This window comes from Homo sapiens, chromosome 16, assembly GCF_000001405.40.
Source record: "Homo sapiens chromosome 16, GRCh38.p14 Primary Assembly".
Taxonomy (NCBI): Eukaryota; Metazoa; Chordata; class Mammalia; order Primates; family Hominidae; genus Homo; species Homo sapiens.
This window is the reverse complement of record NC_000016.10, coordinates 51,635,442-51,652,232: the sequence shown is the minus strand read 5'-3', so window position 1 is coordinate 51,652,232 and position 16,791 is coordinate 51,635,442. Positions and strand designations below refer to the sequence as shown.

The 16,791-nt window shown below is 44.6% G+C and overlaps 1 protein-coding gene across 1 annotated transcript, besides 6 other annotated features; it reads right to left on the bottom strand.

Annotated features, from left to right (window-relative positions):
- Positions 309 to 913: an enhancer, noted in NCBI's record as "H3K4me1 hESC enhancer chr16:51685231-51685835 (GRCh37/hg19 assembly coordinates)". NCBI's record gives its function as "activates a minimal SCP1, AML or CMV promoter by ChIP-STARR-seq in naive H9 embryonic stem cells {active_cell/tissue: H9 hESC(naive)}" and the evidence as "EXISTENCE:reporter gene assay evidence [ECO:0000049][PMID:30033119]".
- Positions 5,154 to 6,476, bottom strand: HNRNPA1L3 (heterogeneous nuclear ribonucleoprotein A1 like 3). Its single transcript, NM_001396241.1, has one exon. The coding sequence runs from the start codon at positions 6,413 to 6,415 to the stop codon at positions 5,453 to 5,455; it is 963 nt and encodes a 320-aa protein (NP_001383170.1). The 5' UTR covers positions 6,416 to 6,476; the 3' UTR covers positions 5,154 to 5,452.
- Positions 14,105 to 14,963: an enhancer, noted in NCBI's record as "VISTA enhancer hs71". NCBI's record gives its function as "enhancer in: forebrain[4/6]" and the evidence as "EXISTENCE:transgenic organism evidence [ECO:0001131][PMID:17130149]".
- Positions 14,105 to 15,599: a biological region, named in NCBI's record as "VISTA enhancer hs71".
- Positions 14,420 to 15,009: an enhancer, noted in NCBI's record as "OCT4-NANOG-H3K27ac hESC enhancer chr16:51671135-51671724 (GRCh37/hg19 assembly coordinates)". NCBI's record gives its function as "activates a minimal SCP1, AML or CMV promoter by ChIP-STARR-seq in primed H9 embryonic stem cells {active_cell/tissue: H9 hESC(primed)}" and the evidence as "EXISTENCE:reporter gene assay evidence [ECO:0000049][PMID:30033119]".
- Positions 15,001 to 15,295: a silencer, noted in NCBI's record as "tiled region #637; HepG2 Repressive non-DNase unmatched - State 21:Repr, and K562 Repressive non-DNase unmatched - State 24:Quies". NCBI's record gives its function as "represses a minimal TATA promoter and a strong SV40 promoter by Sharpr-MPRA in HepG2 and K562 cells {active_cell/tissue: HepG2 | K562}" and the evidence as "EXISTENCE:reporter gene assay evidence [ECO:0000049][PMID:27701403]".
- Positions 15,010 to 15,599: an enhancer, noted in NCBI's record as "OCT4-NANOG-H3K27ac-H3K4me1 hESC enhancer chr16:51670545-51671134 (GRCh37/hg19 assembly coordinates)". NCBI's record gives its function as "activates a minimal SCP1, AML or CMV promoter by ChIP-STARR-seq in primed H9 embryonic stem cells {active_cell/tissue: H9 hESC(primed)}" and the evidence as "EXISTENCE:reporter gene assay evidence [ECO:0000049][PMID:30033119]".

The following is a 16,791-nucleotide window of genomic DNA, read 5'->3' as shown; positions in this document are numbered from 1 at the left end:
ATATTCAAAAGAATATTTTTGGGTCCCCTGAAGCACTTCCAAGTAAACAATCTGAACATCATTAAGCTAGAGGATTTATAAAAGTTCCTCTAGTTCTAAATGGCTCTAAATCATTATGTATGTATAAATGCAGTGGCTTGATCATAGCTCACTGCAACCTCAAACTCCTGGGCTCAAGTGATCCTCCCTCTTCAGCCTCTCCTAGGACTACAGGTGTGTGCCATTATGCCTGGCTAATCTTTTTTTTGAGGCAGGGGTCTTGCTATGTTGCCCAGGCTGGTCTCAAACTCCTGGCCTCAGGCAATCCTCCCACCTCAGCCTCCCAAAGAGCTTGGGTTACAGGCCTCAGCCATCACACCTGACCTGATTATGTATTTATTGAGGAGAGACTGTGTGCTAGTGCCCAGAGACAAAGGCGACTACGACACAGGCAGCCCTTTTTATGTAGAGCTTAACTCTAAAGGTATTTTTCAGCACTTTCACTGTAAGGTAAGTGTTTTCACATATTATTTTCTTTCAGCTCCCAAAATAAATATGTAACGTACATACTCTCATTTCCTCATTTTATAAAGGGGGAAACAGAGGCTTAGAGAAGTTAAGAATTTTTCCCAGGGCAACAGCTAGTAAATGGCAATGCTGGGCCTCAAATTCGCACGAGTCCACTGTGGATTTCTTGCTCTTAACCATTTGGCAGCATTTTCTGAGTCTGCCAAAACCCTGCTTCAGAGTAGAAATGGCTCTGGCCCCTTCTGGGAGGAAGGTGGAGGGGCGCACCAGCCCCAGGAGGGCGGTGACTGACTCCTGCAGGCCCCGCTCCTCTGGTTTGCGCTGATAATGCTGCTCTCCTTCCAGCTCAGCAGCCAAACCCACCCCCACCCTACCCGAGCTGCTGGCAAGGCTGCCAGGTTTCCCGGGCAGGGAAGAAGAAAGCCTCCCATTAGCAGGAGGCTGCGGTTCGGAGCGTCCCTGGGACGAGAAGCATCTGTTGCTGCTCCCCATTGTTCCAGCTGAGAGCACGCTAATTGTCCCCTCCAAAGTTGGGCTGCCGTCTCTTGCCAGAGGGAAATTATGGACCCTTTTTCAGCAGGCGCTGTCCTTTCCGCAGCTGTCAGCTGAATGGCCCCAGGAGGAACAGACTGATTCGGAGGGTGGGGGGAAGTCCATCTTGCATCCTGATCCACGCAGCGAAGGAAAGTCCGCACAGCCCTGAAAGGAAGCAGCGCACCCAGCAGACGGACTCCACCTAGGAACACAAAGGCCGAGGGGCAATGACCTTTCTTGACCATCCATATGATTCCACGGCCTGTGGGATGGTTTGCGCTGCTGCTGTTGGATCATTCAGGAGCTTGAATGCGGGCCGCATTTTGGAGTAAAAAAAGTAGTAGAACATGCTTGGGAATCAGACTAGGCTGGGTTCAAATCCGAGCGCTGCCACTCATTAACCACGACCTTGAGCAAATCACTGTCACTTATCCACCTTGCAGGGCAACTGAGAGGAATCCAGAAGCCAAATAATAACTATGAAATAGCTAGCACAGGCTGGCATAGAGCAGGTGCTTGATACGGATGATATTTTGTTATCATTATTACTATTATTATTATAGCTCTGCGTTGAAACACACGTGTAAAGACAGCCCACATACAGGAGGGTCTCCTAAGAAGTAAGAACATCACTCATATATTGAAAAAATATTTTAAGTTACCTACTGGGTTGCGGGTACCGTGTAGGCAGCTAAATCACAAGAGAGACCTGGGTCTACTTGGAAGTCATGCAAGATGGATGTCCTGAAGGGGAGCTGGAGAAACAGCTGTTTTACAGTGAAAAGAGCCCTCAGTAGAAGGAAGAGCTTGGGCAAAAACCCAGAGATGACAGGAGCAAATGCTTCATTTGAGGATCTGAAAGTAGCCCGGTGCTGTCAGAACTCAGAAACTAAGGGCTGGGGAGGATCAATAATAGAATAGATAATTAATAATGGAAGGACAGCACCCTTAGCCCTGGTCTTCTGGCAAATAGAGTCTATGGCAATGACTGAGATGCCTCACTTCACGTAGGATGTACAAGCGCAGAATGGCGAGGATGAGACACAAGGAAGGTTTGAGGCAATGCAGTACGCACCTTAGCGCATTGACTACACTTTGTAATGCACCACAAAGTGACATGGCAGACTGTCCCCGGGCTGTAAGGAGGGATTGCACACTGGGGTAGTTCCTGGGCGACAAGAAGAAGGGAGATTTATCTGCCTAGCTCTTTTTCCCATTTCCCATTGGTAAAAATTCACTGCTTTCAGGTCACTTCATCTGTCCCTGCAGTGGCCACTCAGAGAGTCATCTCTCTCCCCAGGATGCAGTATCGTGTGCCAGTCTGAAAGAGGAGGCAGAGTCCAGCACACTAACATGAAGGCCAAGAGACAGCAAGCTGGAGGCAGGCGAGGGCGTCTGCAGGGATATTCAAAGCCTGTGTGCTGGCTCAGGGGGAGCATGAATTCCAGAGAGGAAAGGGAGGAGCACCATCTTTATTGATTGCTGTAGCACAGGTTGCTGGTGTTCACTCATGTGCCATTCTCCTTTTTTCTATTCGGCTAAACTATATTTCCCATATCCCCACCTCTACCCATTGCATTTAAGTGGGAGCCTGTGACTGATTCTGGCCAATGAACCATAAGCAAAAATGATGTATGCAACATGCTCAGGGCTGGCTGGAATGCCTCCTGCAGTCTCTTCCACTGTCTTTTTCTCTCTTGTCCTCCAAGGCTATAGAAGACAGCCTGGGGCCAGGCACAGTGGCTGACACCTGTAATCTCAACACTTTGGGAGGCTGAGGCAGGAGGATAACCTGAGGTCAGGAGTTCAAAGAACAGTCATGGTGAAACCCTGTCTCTACTAAAAATCCAAAATTAGCCAGGCATGGTGGCGCAAGCCTGTAATCTCAGCTACTCAGGAGGCTGAGGCAGGAGAATCACTTGAACCCGGGAGGTTGCAGTGAGCCAAGATCACACCACTGCACTCTAGCCTGGGCGACGGGAAAAATTCCATCTCAAAAAAAAGGAAGACAGCCTGGGAGAGTCACAGGGTAGAAGCCTGGCTCCTCAAGTCACCCCCTAGAAGGCAGTAATTCTGAAGAACTGCCCCACTAGAAACACCCTCACTAGACTTTGAGTAAGTGAGGAATAAACTTAGATGGTGTTGAGGTGCTGAGCTAAGGGGTTGCTTGTTACATGAAGTAGCATCACTGTGCCTTAATGGATACCTGAGCCCATGATGCTCCACAGGTACTGTGCTAGGTTAGCCCAAGTCAACCTCACGACAACCCCAAAAGAGGGAAATAGTATCCCCATTTCATAAGTGAGGAAATGAGATTCAGAGAAGTTGTCACTTGGTCAAGTTCACACAGCAAGTAAAGGAGGAGCTTGGATACAAACCCAATCCTGGTTTCTTCTTTCCACTGAGTCATTCTGCCTGCTCCCCTGGAGTGGGGAGTGATGTGGGAAGACAGTGGAGGAAGACGCACATTCCTGGCTTTGAGTGGGCCAGCCCAACCCCGCAGAGGAGTCCAGACACTGGTTTCATCCTTGTTCCTGCTCCAGAAAAACACTAGAGTCAACTGCCAGTGAGAGAAACTCTGGAGAAATCAGTAGGAATGACTCAGTCACTCAGAGTCCCCTCTTTTATGCTTCATGGGACAGAGTGATGGAGAAATTGGGAGGAGACTCATAATTAGCAATCACAGGGGTTAAATTAAAAAGAAAAAAAAAAACCACTTAACCAGTCAATGAAATTAGATAAAATTATCTGTTAGTATTTATACAAAGATCTAATGCTGCCCTCTACAATAAAGGCTCTATATGGCTTGCAAGATACAGTAAAATTAATTGTATATTGGGCTGCCAGGCACTGTTAGAATGGTGTGTTTATTTAAACAGTACCAGAGCTTCGAACATTGAGTTGTAAAGGCCCAGTCGCTGTGAGGGGCTTGAGGAAGAGAAGCTCAGGTCCTTGCATTCTCCCTGGGGCCAAGTAAGAGCTTTTATGGTTGTATATTCTGTTGGGTGTTTTTCCTTTAACAGCCCCTCCTGACAACACCTGGCAGAGCCCTGAACATGAATAGATGGGATCTGTCTCTGAGTTTTTGCTCCATAGCAAGTCAGAAAGGAATTAGAAATGACTGTCTTTACTTAAAAGCTGGATGAGGACAGTTTCTATATATACGGATTCAGACTGGATAAAGGATGTCAGGTTCAAGTTCATTGAAGAAAAGACAAAAATGAGCTCCAGCAAGCTTGACTGGGAGAAATCAGGACACTGTGAAGAGATGCCTCCCTGTTCACCAAAGGTAGTGTCAGGTTGTTGCTAGGAAGCTGCTTCCCAGACAGGGCTATGTTTCCCTGTCTCCCTGGCACGTAGGTGGGGCTGTGGAATGTCACCAATGGGATATGAGCAGAAGTCCCAGGTGACTTTTTCAGACCAAAGAACTTGAGAAGCAGAAGTGCCTGCAATCCCCCTCCTTTTTTCCTTCTGCTAGCTTCCTGTGGAAGAGCACAGTCACCTGGAAATTGCTTGTTAAAGGTCACAGTGCCACAAAATAAAAGGAGCCTGAATCCCCGAATCACCACCTGGAGACGAGCTAATGGCCAGTTAGGTAGATCTGTTTCAGACTTAAAGTGAGTGCAAAGTAAACTTCTATTATGTTTATGCCATTATATTTTGGGGATTTTTTAAGAGCAGCTAGTATTAAACCAATAAAGTAACATTAAGTCCTAAGATTGAGGAACATTACCTTCTTTTTACATGCATTAATGTGTAGCAAATATATTGCTGCTTTCACCTACTATGCCCACTGGAAATGTTATTAGGAGATTATAACATTTTTATCATTCTTTCTGTGGCCTCAGAATCCTTCTTACATTGTAATTATTACCAATTTATTATGAGTTTCATGAAGATGCAACTGAGAATAATACCTATTCCAACACAACTATAAGTTTATTGAGACAGGTGTTTACAAATCTATCATGTAGCACATCATGAAAACAGGGCAGCAGCTCAAAAATGTTGCTGAATGAGTGAATTAATTAATTAATTAATAGGTGTTCTGCAAAGATCTTTTTTTTTTTTTTAAAAAAAAAAGACATTTATCCAGCGTCACGATCAGACTATTACATTTAGCAATCAACAGCATGGGGTGCAAAAAAAAAAAATCTACATTAAAACCCTTTGTTGGAATGCTTTACACTTTCCACAGAACAGAAACTAAAATAACCTGTTATACAATTAGTCACAAATACAGTCCTCGAGTTTTTTGCCTATACACATGAGTATTTGTCTAAAACATGTCTTCTTTGTAGCAGCTAGGCCCTGCCACCACTGTGCTTGGCTGAGTTCACAAATCTGTTGTAACCTGTAGCTTCCCTGTCACTTCTCTGGCTCTCCTCTCCTGCTAAGCTTTGTTTCCTAATTAAAATCTTCTGCCACTGCCATAGCTACTGCTGCTGCTGGAACCGCCATAGCCACCTTGGTTTCGTGGTTTTGCAAAGTATTGGCCTCCACCGCCATGGGGGCCAGAGCTTCTGCCTTCAAAATTTCCTCCCTTCATGGGTCCAAAATTTGAAGACTGATTGTTGTAATTGCCAAAATCATTGTAGCTTCCACCACCTCCAAAATTGCTTCCATCATTACCAAATCCATTATAGCCATCCCCACTGCCACCATATCCACCACCACCACGGCTGCCACCAAAGCCACCACGACCACTGAAGTTTCCTCCACGACCGAAGTTGTCATTCCCACCGAAACCACCTCCACGACCACCACCAAAGTTTCCAGAACCACTTCGACCTCTTTGGCTGGATGAAGCACTAGCCATCTCTTGCTTTGACAGGGCTTTTCTAACTTCACAGTTGTGGCCATTCACAGTATGGTATTTCTGAATGACAATCTTATCCACGGAGTCATGGTCGTCAAAGGTTACAAAGGCAAAGCCCCTTTTCTTGCCACTGCCTCTGTCAGTCATGATTTCAATCACTTCAATTTTTCCATACTGTTCAAAATAATCTCTTAGGTGATGTTCTTCAGTGTCTTCTTTAATGCCACCAACAAATATCTTTTTCACAGTTAAGTGGGCATCTGGTCTTTGAGAATCTTCTCTGGAGACAGCTCTCTTTGGTTCCACAACTCTTCCATCCACCTTGTGTGGCCTTGCATTCATAGCTGCATCCACCTCCTCCACAGTGGCATATGTGACAAACCCAAAGCCCCTGGAGCGCTTCGTGTTTGGATCTCTCATTACCACACAGTCCGTGAGCGTTCCCCATTGCTCAAAATGGCTCCTCAGGCTCTCATCAGTTGTTTCAAAGCTCAACCCTCCAATGAAGAGCTTCCTCAGCTGTTCGGGCTCTTTAGGAGACTCTGACTTAGACATGACGGCAGGGTGAAGAGAGACTTTAACGATGCTTCTTCGGCGGCGTCCAAGGGCAGAAAGGAAAAGATCTTATTCTGATATATTTGCAACTTCCTTGGGTCAGAAAACTGCTAAAAACATGGGAACTGATAATTATCATAATAATTAAACTCAGATATTGAGACTCTTAATGGATTTGAGGGAGACTTCCTAGAATGGTAGGTCTGTAGTCATTGATGACCTCTCACACTTTACTTTACCTTGCCTATACAGAAAAAGCAATCCAAATTGTTCAGATCTGCTTGAGATCCAGTGTCAGAAGACATGAGGGGGAATACCCCTCTGTTGTTTGAGTGGTGTCTTGAATGTCATAGGTAGTTAAACTGTTTAACTGGAGTCCTCCAAGAATATATGTATACAGCGGTGCTGATGGTTATCCCTTTCCTTTGTAAAGCACGAACTGCAGTAGCTGGACTCTTGCATCCATAATCTCATTTGATTATTTTATCTATTTAAGTAAAGAAAACAAAAGGAAATACACCCATTTAACAGATGAAGAGAGAATCCCAGAGGGGATGTGACTTAATAACATCACAGAATATTAAAGATAAACTCAGGTTCAGAACCCCAGACTTTTTCATTTATTCATTCAGCTAATATTCAATGCGCACTTATTGGTCAGGCATCTACTGGCCCCTGGGTCTCACTTAATGCATCAAAATGTCATGCTTCCACAGTGCAGATGGATATTTCATCACACACTCTCACGTTTGGCATTTTATGAAGTACAGTCCTTTCCCTTCCCTTTCTTCCTTTTCCTGGTGGAAGGAAAACAAGCAAATTTGATCTGAGCCTTGATATGCCCCTACTTTTTCTTATCCCAAAGAACATCATATGCTGAAAGGGTCTATCTAAGCACAATCCTGTTACTATTTCAGGAAGCATTAAATAATTACATTAATTTATCAGACTATTACGAACAAAGTTGTAGGAAGGACGTCACATGGGAAGAAAGCATTGAAGCCCACTTCTAGAAATATGCACAGTTTTGAATGTGGCTGGAAATAATGAAGAAGTGATCTAAATTCAAGAATTGGATGGTCTTTGGTGGGCCCCCAAGAGTCTGGAAGTGTTCTCTCAGTGTCTTAGCCTAGGTTTCAGATTTACAATTTGAAAAATGCAGCTGTCAGTTCAGAGCCTATATCCATACACACCACAATCCAGCTTTTCTGGCTACAAGCTGTTGTGGCATCTGAGATAAACATGGGACAATCTCATGTGGAACTGGCCACTTGGTCACTTCTCCTCACTTTAGGACACTCTGATCCAGATGCTGACTTCCAGCCTAGGCTATTCTCATCAACACAAGAAGGTAGGGAGCTGAGGATGTCCACTAGGGGCCATTCCTTCAACCACTGTGAGATGCACAGAAGCGCCAATTCCTTGACTGATCCCCAGAGGAGTAGAAATTCTCCTGGAAGAAACCAGATGGCATTGTGACTTGAAAGTTAACTGTCACAGAAAAATAAGAGTTTAGAGATTTTGGAGCATATAATACCTTTTTATTTAAAAAAAAAAAAAAAAAAATCCTTAGAGAATTTGCTTTTACGGCTCTCCAAGATTACTTATCCAATCTCGTTTTTCCCCCCTACCCTGAAGGTACTCTTTATTCCCCTCCTCATAAACCCCTAACCACACCATTTTTATTCCTGCTTCCCCAACTTTGCATAAACTATCTGAAAAGCATTCTTCCCTTCTATCTGTTGGAGCAAGTCCTACCCAGTCTTCTAAGGCAGTTTCAACTTTGTCATGGAATCACTTCTTTCTCCTAAACTTTCTACAACCTGGAGACAGGGGTCCACACTACCCCATTCATTATCTCCCTGTGTTTATCATTGTTTTATGAGAAAAAAATGCTCCTTCCCCAATAACGCTACAGGCTCCTTTGGGAAGCATGGTCTTTGAATTTGCAGCCCACCTGTGTGAGCCTCTTTCTTAGGACTTTGAAAAGTTCCTGGGAGGGAGAGGAGAGGCTGAGTTTCTCTGCTTTCTCTTAGGCCACCCCACTTGCAAGGAAGTCACCATTTTTAGTTCCCTGACCTATGTGCAGGGATGCCTAGGAGAATTGTATTGTGTGTTATCTCATCAACTTTCTGAGATTATAAGCATTGTGCAAAACAGGCAATGTATCTTATACCTTTTGAGTACATAAACTAAATACTCAGTTGAAAAAAAAATTAAATGTTGCTGTTTTTGCTGTTGTCTTTTGGACAATGCATGTGGCCTGTGTCCTCACGGGCCTCTATTATTAGAGGCTATATTCTAAAGAGTTAATCCAAATTTTGGATTTAAGTGGGTTTGCCATCTGCTATGTATGGTTTTCAATACAAAACTTTTTGAGTATGGGACAATCTGTACAATTCTCCTAGGCATCCCTGCACACAGGTCACTAAAAATGGTGGCATCCTTGCAAACGGGGTGGCCTAAGAGAAAGCAAAGAAAATCAGCCTCCTCCTTGTTCAGTAACTTTTGGAAGTCCTAAGGAAGAGGCTACACACAGGTGGGTTCCAAATTCAAAGGCCAGGCTTTCCAAAGGAGCGTGCAGGGTTACTGAGGAAGGAGCATAAATTATGGCAGTAGGTGGCATTTGTGCCTGCTGTACCCACCAACCTATAAAGGACCTTAATCAATTGCCCCAGTCCTCTCACGCCTCAGGCTGGCTGAGGGCCAGGCAGACCTCCAACATGAAACCCAGCAAATGTGATCTGGGCCTTGCTCTGCCCCCACCTTTTTCCTCCCTCAAAGGGGATTCTGGTGCCAGCACCATATGTTGAAAGGGCCCAAGCACAATCCTATTACCATTGCAGGAGGCATTAAATAATTACATTAATTTACCTAAATATGGAAAAAAATCTTTACAAATCGGGGACACTTGGCAGATTTTCCAGCTGCACATTTTTTGCTTGGCACAGCACACTGTCCTGTTGGGTTCCCATTGCTACTTGGAGTGTTTCCTTTAATTGTGGGGCACATGCCTTCTCTTGTTCTGTTTAATTTTCTCAGAGCTGGTTCCACATTCCAGCTACAAACATATTATAGGAAAAAAAAAATACCCACAAAAGTATGGATTGTGCTTGAGTGTACCCTAAGGGAGCGTACATAAAAATAGTAATTTCTTGTATATGAAACCTTCCATGGGGCGGTCTTTCACTAGATTGCTTTGCAGAAAATAAAAGGTTGAAGGGGTGGAAAGAGGGAAAAGGGCAAAGGAAGGAAAGAAATAAAACTGGGAGATTAGAAAGGGGTTATGTAATGGAGTGGGAGTGAACACACATTGGAATTCCATGTGTATGAAGATGGTGAACTAGACTTGTGTTTGGTGGACTTGTAATGGAAAGCTCCACCAAAGAAAAGTCTGCATTTTCAGGGTCAACACTTGCTGTTAACTATCTCTGGTCAGTGTTTTCACTGCCAATGCTTGTGTCTAAATCACAGACCTCCTGCCATGGAATTCGAGGGCTGAAGTGCAGATAATATTCACAGCGACCCCACTTCCCTGACTCAGCATGTCCTCACAGGAATGCCACAGAGAGTGACTGCCACCCACACAGCCCAACTTCAGAGGCTGAGGAAAGGGAGGCCCTCGCCTCTTACAAGTTCCCCTGACCAGAGACTGACTGAAATTCCCTTCCTTGGGATAAGGACTTCTAGAAGGTGCTTCTCAAATCCTCAGTGTCTTTTGTTTTTAGTCTACTGAAGACCAATATTATTATTATTGGTAGTAGTAGTATTTTGTATCACAGCACGTGGATGTCTCAGTAAGGTCAGGTTGCTGGATTACATTTCTAAGTACTTCCTCTGTATTTCTAGCCTTGCCTCATCATGGATAGGTAGCAAGCAGTGAATGAGCATCATTTTGTGGCCTACACCTTGAGTCACTCAGTTCTAGACACAGGGACATGAGATTCAGCTAAACTGGCCCCTTCCAAGAGAGGGTGCCCAGGGACTTGCACTGACAGTGGTGGTAGATGACAACTGTCACATCACAGAGAAGAAGCAGCTGGAGCCCCGGAGATGAACCTTCCCAGCTCCCAAAGTTTCCAAAGCATCCATTGAGCCTGCAAACAGCATTGGTAACTGGCCTTCTGCCATTGTCTCTGAGGTCTGTGGGCCAGGGTAGCTGGAAAGGGCTGAGCATTCTTTTCTAAGGTAATGTGTCTTGCCTTGTTAAAATGTAATAATAGACAGATAAGACTTTAGTGAAAATATATTAGAGAAGCAAAGAAGTGTGATTTTTTTAAGTTCTTACTTCCCTTCCCAGAAATGGTACAGGCCCCATTCGGCAAAACCCTGTGCTAGTCTGAAGTCACAATCCAGTGAGGCTTCTGGCTGTAGACATGATAAAAGGCTTCATTTTCTGACTTAACCACACTCCTGCTTATCTCCTCATCTCCAGCCCATGGTGGACACTGTGACTTCTCCCTTTTCCTGTTGCTCATTCCTGCTGTGGCTAGATGACACTTTCTGATCTATCCTGCAGCATCAGCATTGCCGTCTATAAGTTTGTGATACTGGTTTGGCTCTGTCTGCACCCAAATCTCATCTTGAATCCTACTCCCATAATTCCCACGTGTTGTGAGAGGGACCCGGTGGGAGATAATTTGAATCATGGGGGTGGTTTCCCCCGTACTGTTCTTGTGGTAGCAAATAAGTCTCACAAGATCTGATGGTTTTATCAGGTGTTTCCGCTTTTGCATTCTCCTCATTTTCTCTTGCAGCCTCCATGTAAGAAGAGCTTTTTGCCTCCCGCCATGATTCTGAGGCCTCCCCAGCCATGCGGAACTGTAAGTCCAATTAAACCTCTTTTTCTTCCCAGTCTCGGGTATGTCTTTATCAACACCATGAAAACGGACTAATATAGCTTGTTAGAAATGCAGAACCTCAGGCCCTGCTCTTTTCCTGGAACTGTTTCCTCAGATTCCACAAGTTAACAATATCCTCAAGAGATTTTTATATACATTAGAGTTCCAGACAGGCTGCTCTAGGAAGCTCTCACAGTCCCCTATCACCTGCATTTGGCGCTCCCTTCTGCCATGTGGGAGAGGGTATATTCAAGCAGGACAACTGAAGAAAGTTGAATGATGGGAAATCAACAAATTGAAGTAATAAGGCTAGCAAATCAGGGAGGTGCCATCACCCCTAACTCTGAGAGGGCAAAGACAAGAAGTCAACAGAATCCTAGAAGCTGTGCGAGGGAGCCCTTTGACGGCAAGTGTGGCCCTCAGTGGAGGAAGAGGGGAATGTACACTTCTCCAGCCAAGGGGAAATAGATACCCCATCTCTCCCTCATTTCCCCCTCTATCTGCTGTGAATGTCTTTGTTAGGCGTTGGAATGTGGCCCTTAAACTGAAGTTCTAAGCCCCAGGACCTCAGAATGCGCCCTCATGTGGAAATAGGGTTGCTGCAGATGTAATTAGTTAAGAAAAGTCATGCTGGAGTAAAGCAGGCCCTTCATCCAATATGAATGTGCTTATGAAAAGAGGAGAGATGCAGAGACAGAAGCATAGGGAGAGGACAGCCATGTGACCACAGAGGCAGAGACTGAAGTGAGGCATCTACAAGCCAAGGATTGCTAGAAACACCAAAAGCTGGAAGAGGAGAGGAGGGACTTCTCTGCAGGTTTCAAAGGGAGCATGATCTTGCTGATACCTTGATCTTGGACATCTGGCCTCCAGAACTATAAGACAGTAAGTTTCTGTTGTTTTAAGCCACTTGGTTTGTGGTACTTTGTCAAGGTAGCACGAGCAAAAGAAGATAGCTTTCCATTGGCCAAGTCCAATCAAAAGCCAGAGGTGAAAGGATCCTGCTGAAGCCATTCATAAAAGGATGGGAAAGGTGGAGACTGAATCTTCAGGGGAAAATAAAAAGTATCCAGCAGGTGGGGACTATGAGATTAGATTGATGGAAAGGTATTAGGTTAAAAACTAAACAAAATTATCTTTTTGTAAGAGTTACCAAACCTGGCTGTTGGTAACTCCCCTCCCTGGATGTATGAAAGAATCCTGGCTGCTCCCTCCAGTATGTGAGCAGGAGGCACATGAGCAAACCTGTTGATATCATTTAACCCCTTGATCCAGCAATACCTGAAGCTTTCATCCTTGGAATCCACCACTGTAGATACAATAAAGTCCCTCTTTGACTTGAGCTACTGTCTCCAAACACCTAAATGCCAGAGAATGGTAATATATTTTACTTAATTTCATGGCTCTGAGAAACACAGGGATCCACACTAAGGTCCTTCTGGCCAATCTCAATATCCTCCCTGAGAGAAAGAAAGTGACGCCTTTCAGACAGGAAATCTGTCTAGGATCCTGCCCCCGTGAAAGGGAGTTTTTCATAAATGGAGTATCCAGTTTCTTGCAGCTCCTTTTATGAAAAATCAAAAACAACCTAGGTGCCCGACAAAAAGAGATTAGTCAAATGGATTTTCTACATCCATACAATGCAATTCTCCACAGGCAAAAATTATGACATGGAATGATTGTTTTCCAAATGTCCTCTACAAGATCCAAAGTTTCCTCAGAAACCTGCAGAGACAGAGTGGTGTAAGTATGTACACTGAGCTACCAATATCATAATCCTGATTTCATCAGAGCATTTTTATTTTGACCTATTTTTATCTATTTGGCTTCCAAATAATATTTCCCTTAAAAGAAGAGTTCCAGGCAATGCCTATAGGCATGTCCATTGGCTTGTAGGTGGCTATTATCTACCTTTCACCCCACATGGGTAGCACTGGAAGAGTAATAGGGTAGAAAATTTCTAGGTTTGATGAAGAGCAGAAAAAGGTCTGAGAATGATTTGGCAGACTGGTGACTCAGAGTTCACGTAAACTGATTCACATGGATTAAGAGGCCAAGTACAGTGAGGAAAAGTCCCTGGACCAGGAGAAGGGAGAACTGGGTTCCTAGCCCCACTGTCCCAGCAGCAGGTAGTATGCATGAGAAGGTCCCCTCCCTCTGTGCTTAAGGACAAAGCTGTCATCCGCATGACCTCTCAAGCCTGCAAGGACACAACCATGTTCTTTAGTACTATGGAAGCCCTTATGTGATGTCAGAAAGAAATTTCCAAGGATATCTACAATCATGCAGTCTGCATATCCATTCCTCACTTCAACTTCCCTTATATATTTCCAACTCCTTTTGTGAACATGAGCCAGACAGACACATAGAAATGGACTATGACTAATACAATTTTAGCTCATCATCTCAACAATCCTAGGAAATAGATTTCATCATAACTGTCATTTTATAGAGGAGGAAACTGAAGCTCAGAGGGGGTAAGCAATTTGTCTAAGGTCACACAGCTAGTAAATGTCAAAACCAGGCTTTGAAGACCTGATGAGCTTTTGGTCTTAATGAATATGTACTATAGACCAAAAGATAGAGACATCTTTTCAGGCTTCGAATTTAACAAATTTGAGGATTTAAATAGCTATAGGTATAGATTATATTGAGGGAGGAGAGGGAATAGACAGCTTGTAACAATTTCCAGGGGGTGGTAGAGCTGGGAGAGGTAGTAGACTATGGAATCAAGCCTGCTCATTCCTCATAGATCCAAAGCTCAGAGAGAGGATGTGACTTAACCAAGGTCATGCAATTCTTTGGCATTCATTTCCCAACTAAAACCCAAGATTTTAAAGTCAAGATTAACTGCCCTTAACTCTATAGTTGATAACTTTACCATATTCCCTGAGATGTACTTGTTGTACTTCTTGAGGTCTTGAAGAAGGTTTTTTTTTATTTTTTAAAAAAATGCCTCTGGTGTTCTGCTCAGCCTAATGAACTCATCCAATTTACCAGACATACAAAAGTGAAACGAATCTGACGCACAATCAGTTAATCCTTTATCTTCCTTGGCGGCAGCCTCGGAAACAGCGGGAGGACAGTCCCCCAGCCTGCAGTGGTGTTACGGATCACAACGGAAGCATATTGTCATCAGATTAATTTTCCAACCCTCCTACCCTAACCACAAAATCCTGAGAGAACGAGTGTCAAATACACTTAATAATTGCATAATTATGACATCTGTTACTCTCCAGCACCTCTTAGTGGAAAATTAACTGAAGAAATAGCAGGTTCAAAGATGTGTTAACACTCTGATAGCAGATTTAATTGAAATATGACGGGGGAGGATAATGGAGATTAAATTAAGCTCTCAGATAATCATCTGACACAAAGATAATTGAGCCAGCCTCTGCCACGTTGATGAACGCTTCAGAGAGGCTGTGCGGGTGGCATTTCGAGTATCTTATCCTTCAGGCAAAATGGAATTCTCCTCCCCCCTCCTTCTTCTCCCTCTCTTGTCATTCAACATTTGTATCCTCCAAATCGATAATGTGAACAGCAGCATAATTGGAAATAAAAGATGATCTGAAATCCACAGGAAATTAGGTTGAGGCGCGTGGAGGAAATACAGTCTCATCCTGGACACAAGGTAGATTTTTATGAGATGTGCCCCTACTCTGCAGTTTCTCCAGGAGTGTTTTCCCAGTGTCTCTGTCCTCAATGGAAAGAAATGGCCGTATGTGAGACCGGAAGGTGGTCCATAAACATGAGAATGGAGGAGTCAATAGGAGGCTTCCTCTGCATTCCCTTACAACAATCACTTTGAGCTCTTTCTCCTCTCCGCAGGAGCATTATCTTGCTTTATAGGGCAAGTCCAGGAAGCAGTGTGTGACAAAGAATGAGTACCCAGTGCTGGAGGGCATGGAGCAATCCATCGGCAGCTCCCGGTGGTGATGAGTGAGTGTCCTGCGGCAGAGGGTGGGGTGGCATAGCAAGAACAGTTGAAGGCAGGAAGTGGGAAAGCATTCTGGTTACTGTCATGCCAAGGGTCAGCGGCCAACAGTCCGGGAGAGTCTCCTTGCATCTGTCTTCCTCTAACAAGGTAATGCCTCCCTGTCAAAGGGTCGTGAGTGGCAAACCAGTGTAGAGAATAAGGTGGTGTCCTGAAAGGCAGTCTTCAGTCTGCTCCCACTCCACCAGCACTCCAACTACTCAGAGTTTCAGGTTCAGGATTTTATATGAATGGGGTTGATCTGCTTCGCTTAGGTGGAGTCAAAGGAATGTGGTCGCATCTCCTTGAAGCAACTCCATCCCATTTCCCACTTACTCTTCTCTTCCCTGGCATCACCCCGCCCATGAACACCATAAGAATTTCCTAGTCCTGGCTGGGCGCGGTGGCTCACGCCTGTAATCCCAGCACTTTGGGAGGCCGAGGCGGGCGGATCACGAGGTCAGGAGATCGAGACCATGCTGGCTAACACGGTGAAACGCCGTCTCTACTAAAAATACAAAAAATTAGCCGGGCGAGATGGCGGGCGCCTGTAGTCCCAGCTACTACTCGGGAGGCTGAGGCAGGAGAATGGCGTGAACCCCAGGGGGCGGAGCCTGCAGTGAGCTGAGATCGCGCCACTGCACTCCAACCTGGGCAACAGCGAGACTCTGCCTTAAAAAAAAAAAAAAAAAAAAAAAAAAAAAAAAAAAATCCTAGTCCTGACCTCTCTCTATGCTATGACATAGTTAAGGGGAATCCCCTTGGGGATGGAGGAGGCAATGATGCGAGTGCCCCTCACTGGGGCCCTAGACATGACACGGGATGGAAAACATTTCCCCTCTCTGGTGCAGCCATGGCTGAAGCCCAGGGTGCCTGCTGGGCCTGAGATGAGGGGCTCTGGGCAAGCTGTGCATTCCAATGGCCACCACATCCTCCAGTTCAGATCCTGACCCTGGTGGTAAGTCCTTCAATGGACAGTGGAGCCCAACAATCAGGGCATTCCTTCCAAATTCTGCCAGAGAACCAACACTCAAAGTAGGTATCTTTGTTCCTACAAAGTCTCCAAGTACAATGCCCAGGATGGCAGGGTAGGGTCTGGCACCCAGAGCCTCATGTATGGCAAAGCTCTCCTTTCACCACCAGCCTTCTGTTTCAACCTCTTCAAAAGTTAATTTAGGACACTTCTACTTCCTCCCTATTTTTGGGTTTGGAATAGAGCCCAATATTCTGAAAGATTACAATAATGTTTAATTTGGGTGGAGAACAATGAGGCTCTCCATTCCATCTCTTCCTTCCTGGAAGAATTCCATAAATTCTATAAGTATGTTTCCCCAACTGCTGGATATCCGCAATAAATTCCATGTCGTTAGACCCCTAGTTAACTTATGATGGCAAAGTTTGAAAGATGGTCTTGTCCCATCTCTCCTATTACTTTTGTCCCAAATTGTTAATTTATTGAAGCATAAAAAAGCAAGGCATCTCATGAGAAAGAGACTTAAGGGTTTGTTTTAATCATCCTCCTGTAGTCAAGTAATATGGCACCAGAAATTGTCTTCAAA

Coding starts and splice junctions, on each gene's coding strand:
- HNRNPA1L3 (NM_001396241.1), bottom strand. CDS start 6,415: ATGTCTAAGTCAGAGTCTCCTAAAGAGCCCGAACAGCTGAGGAAGCTC.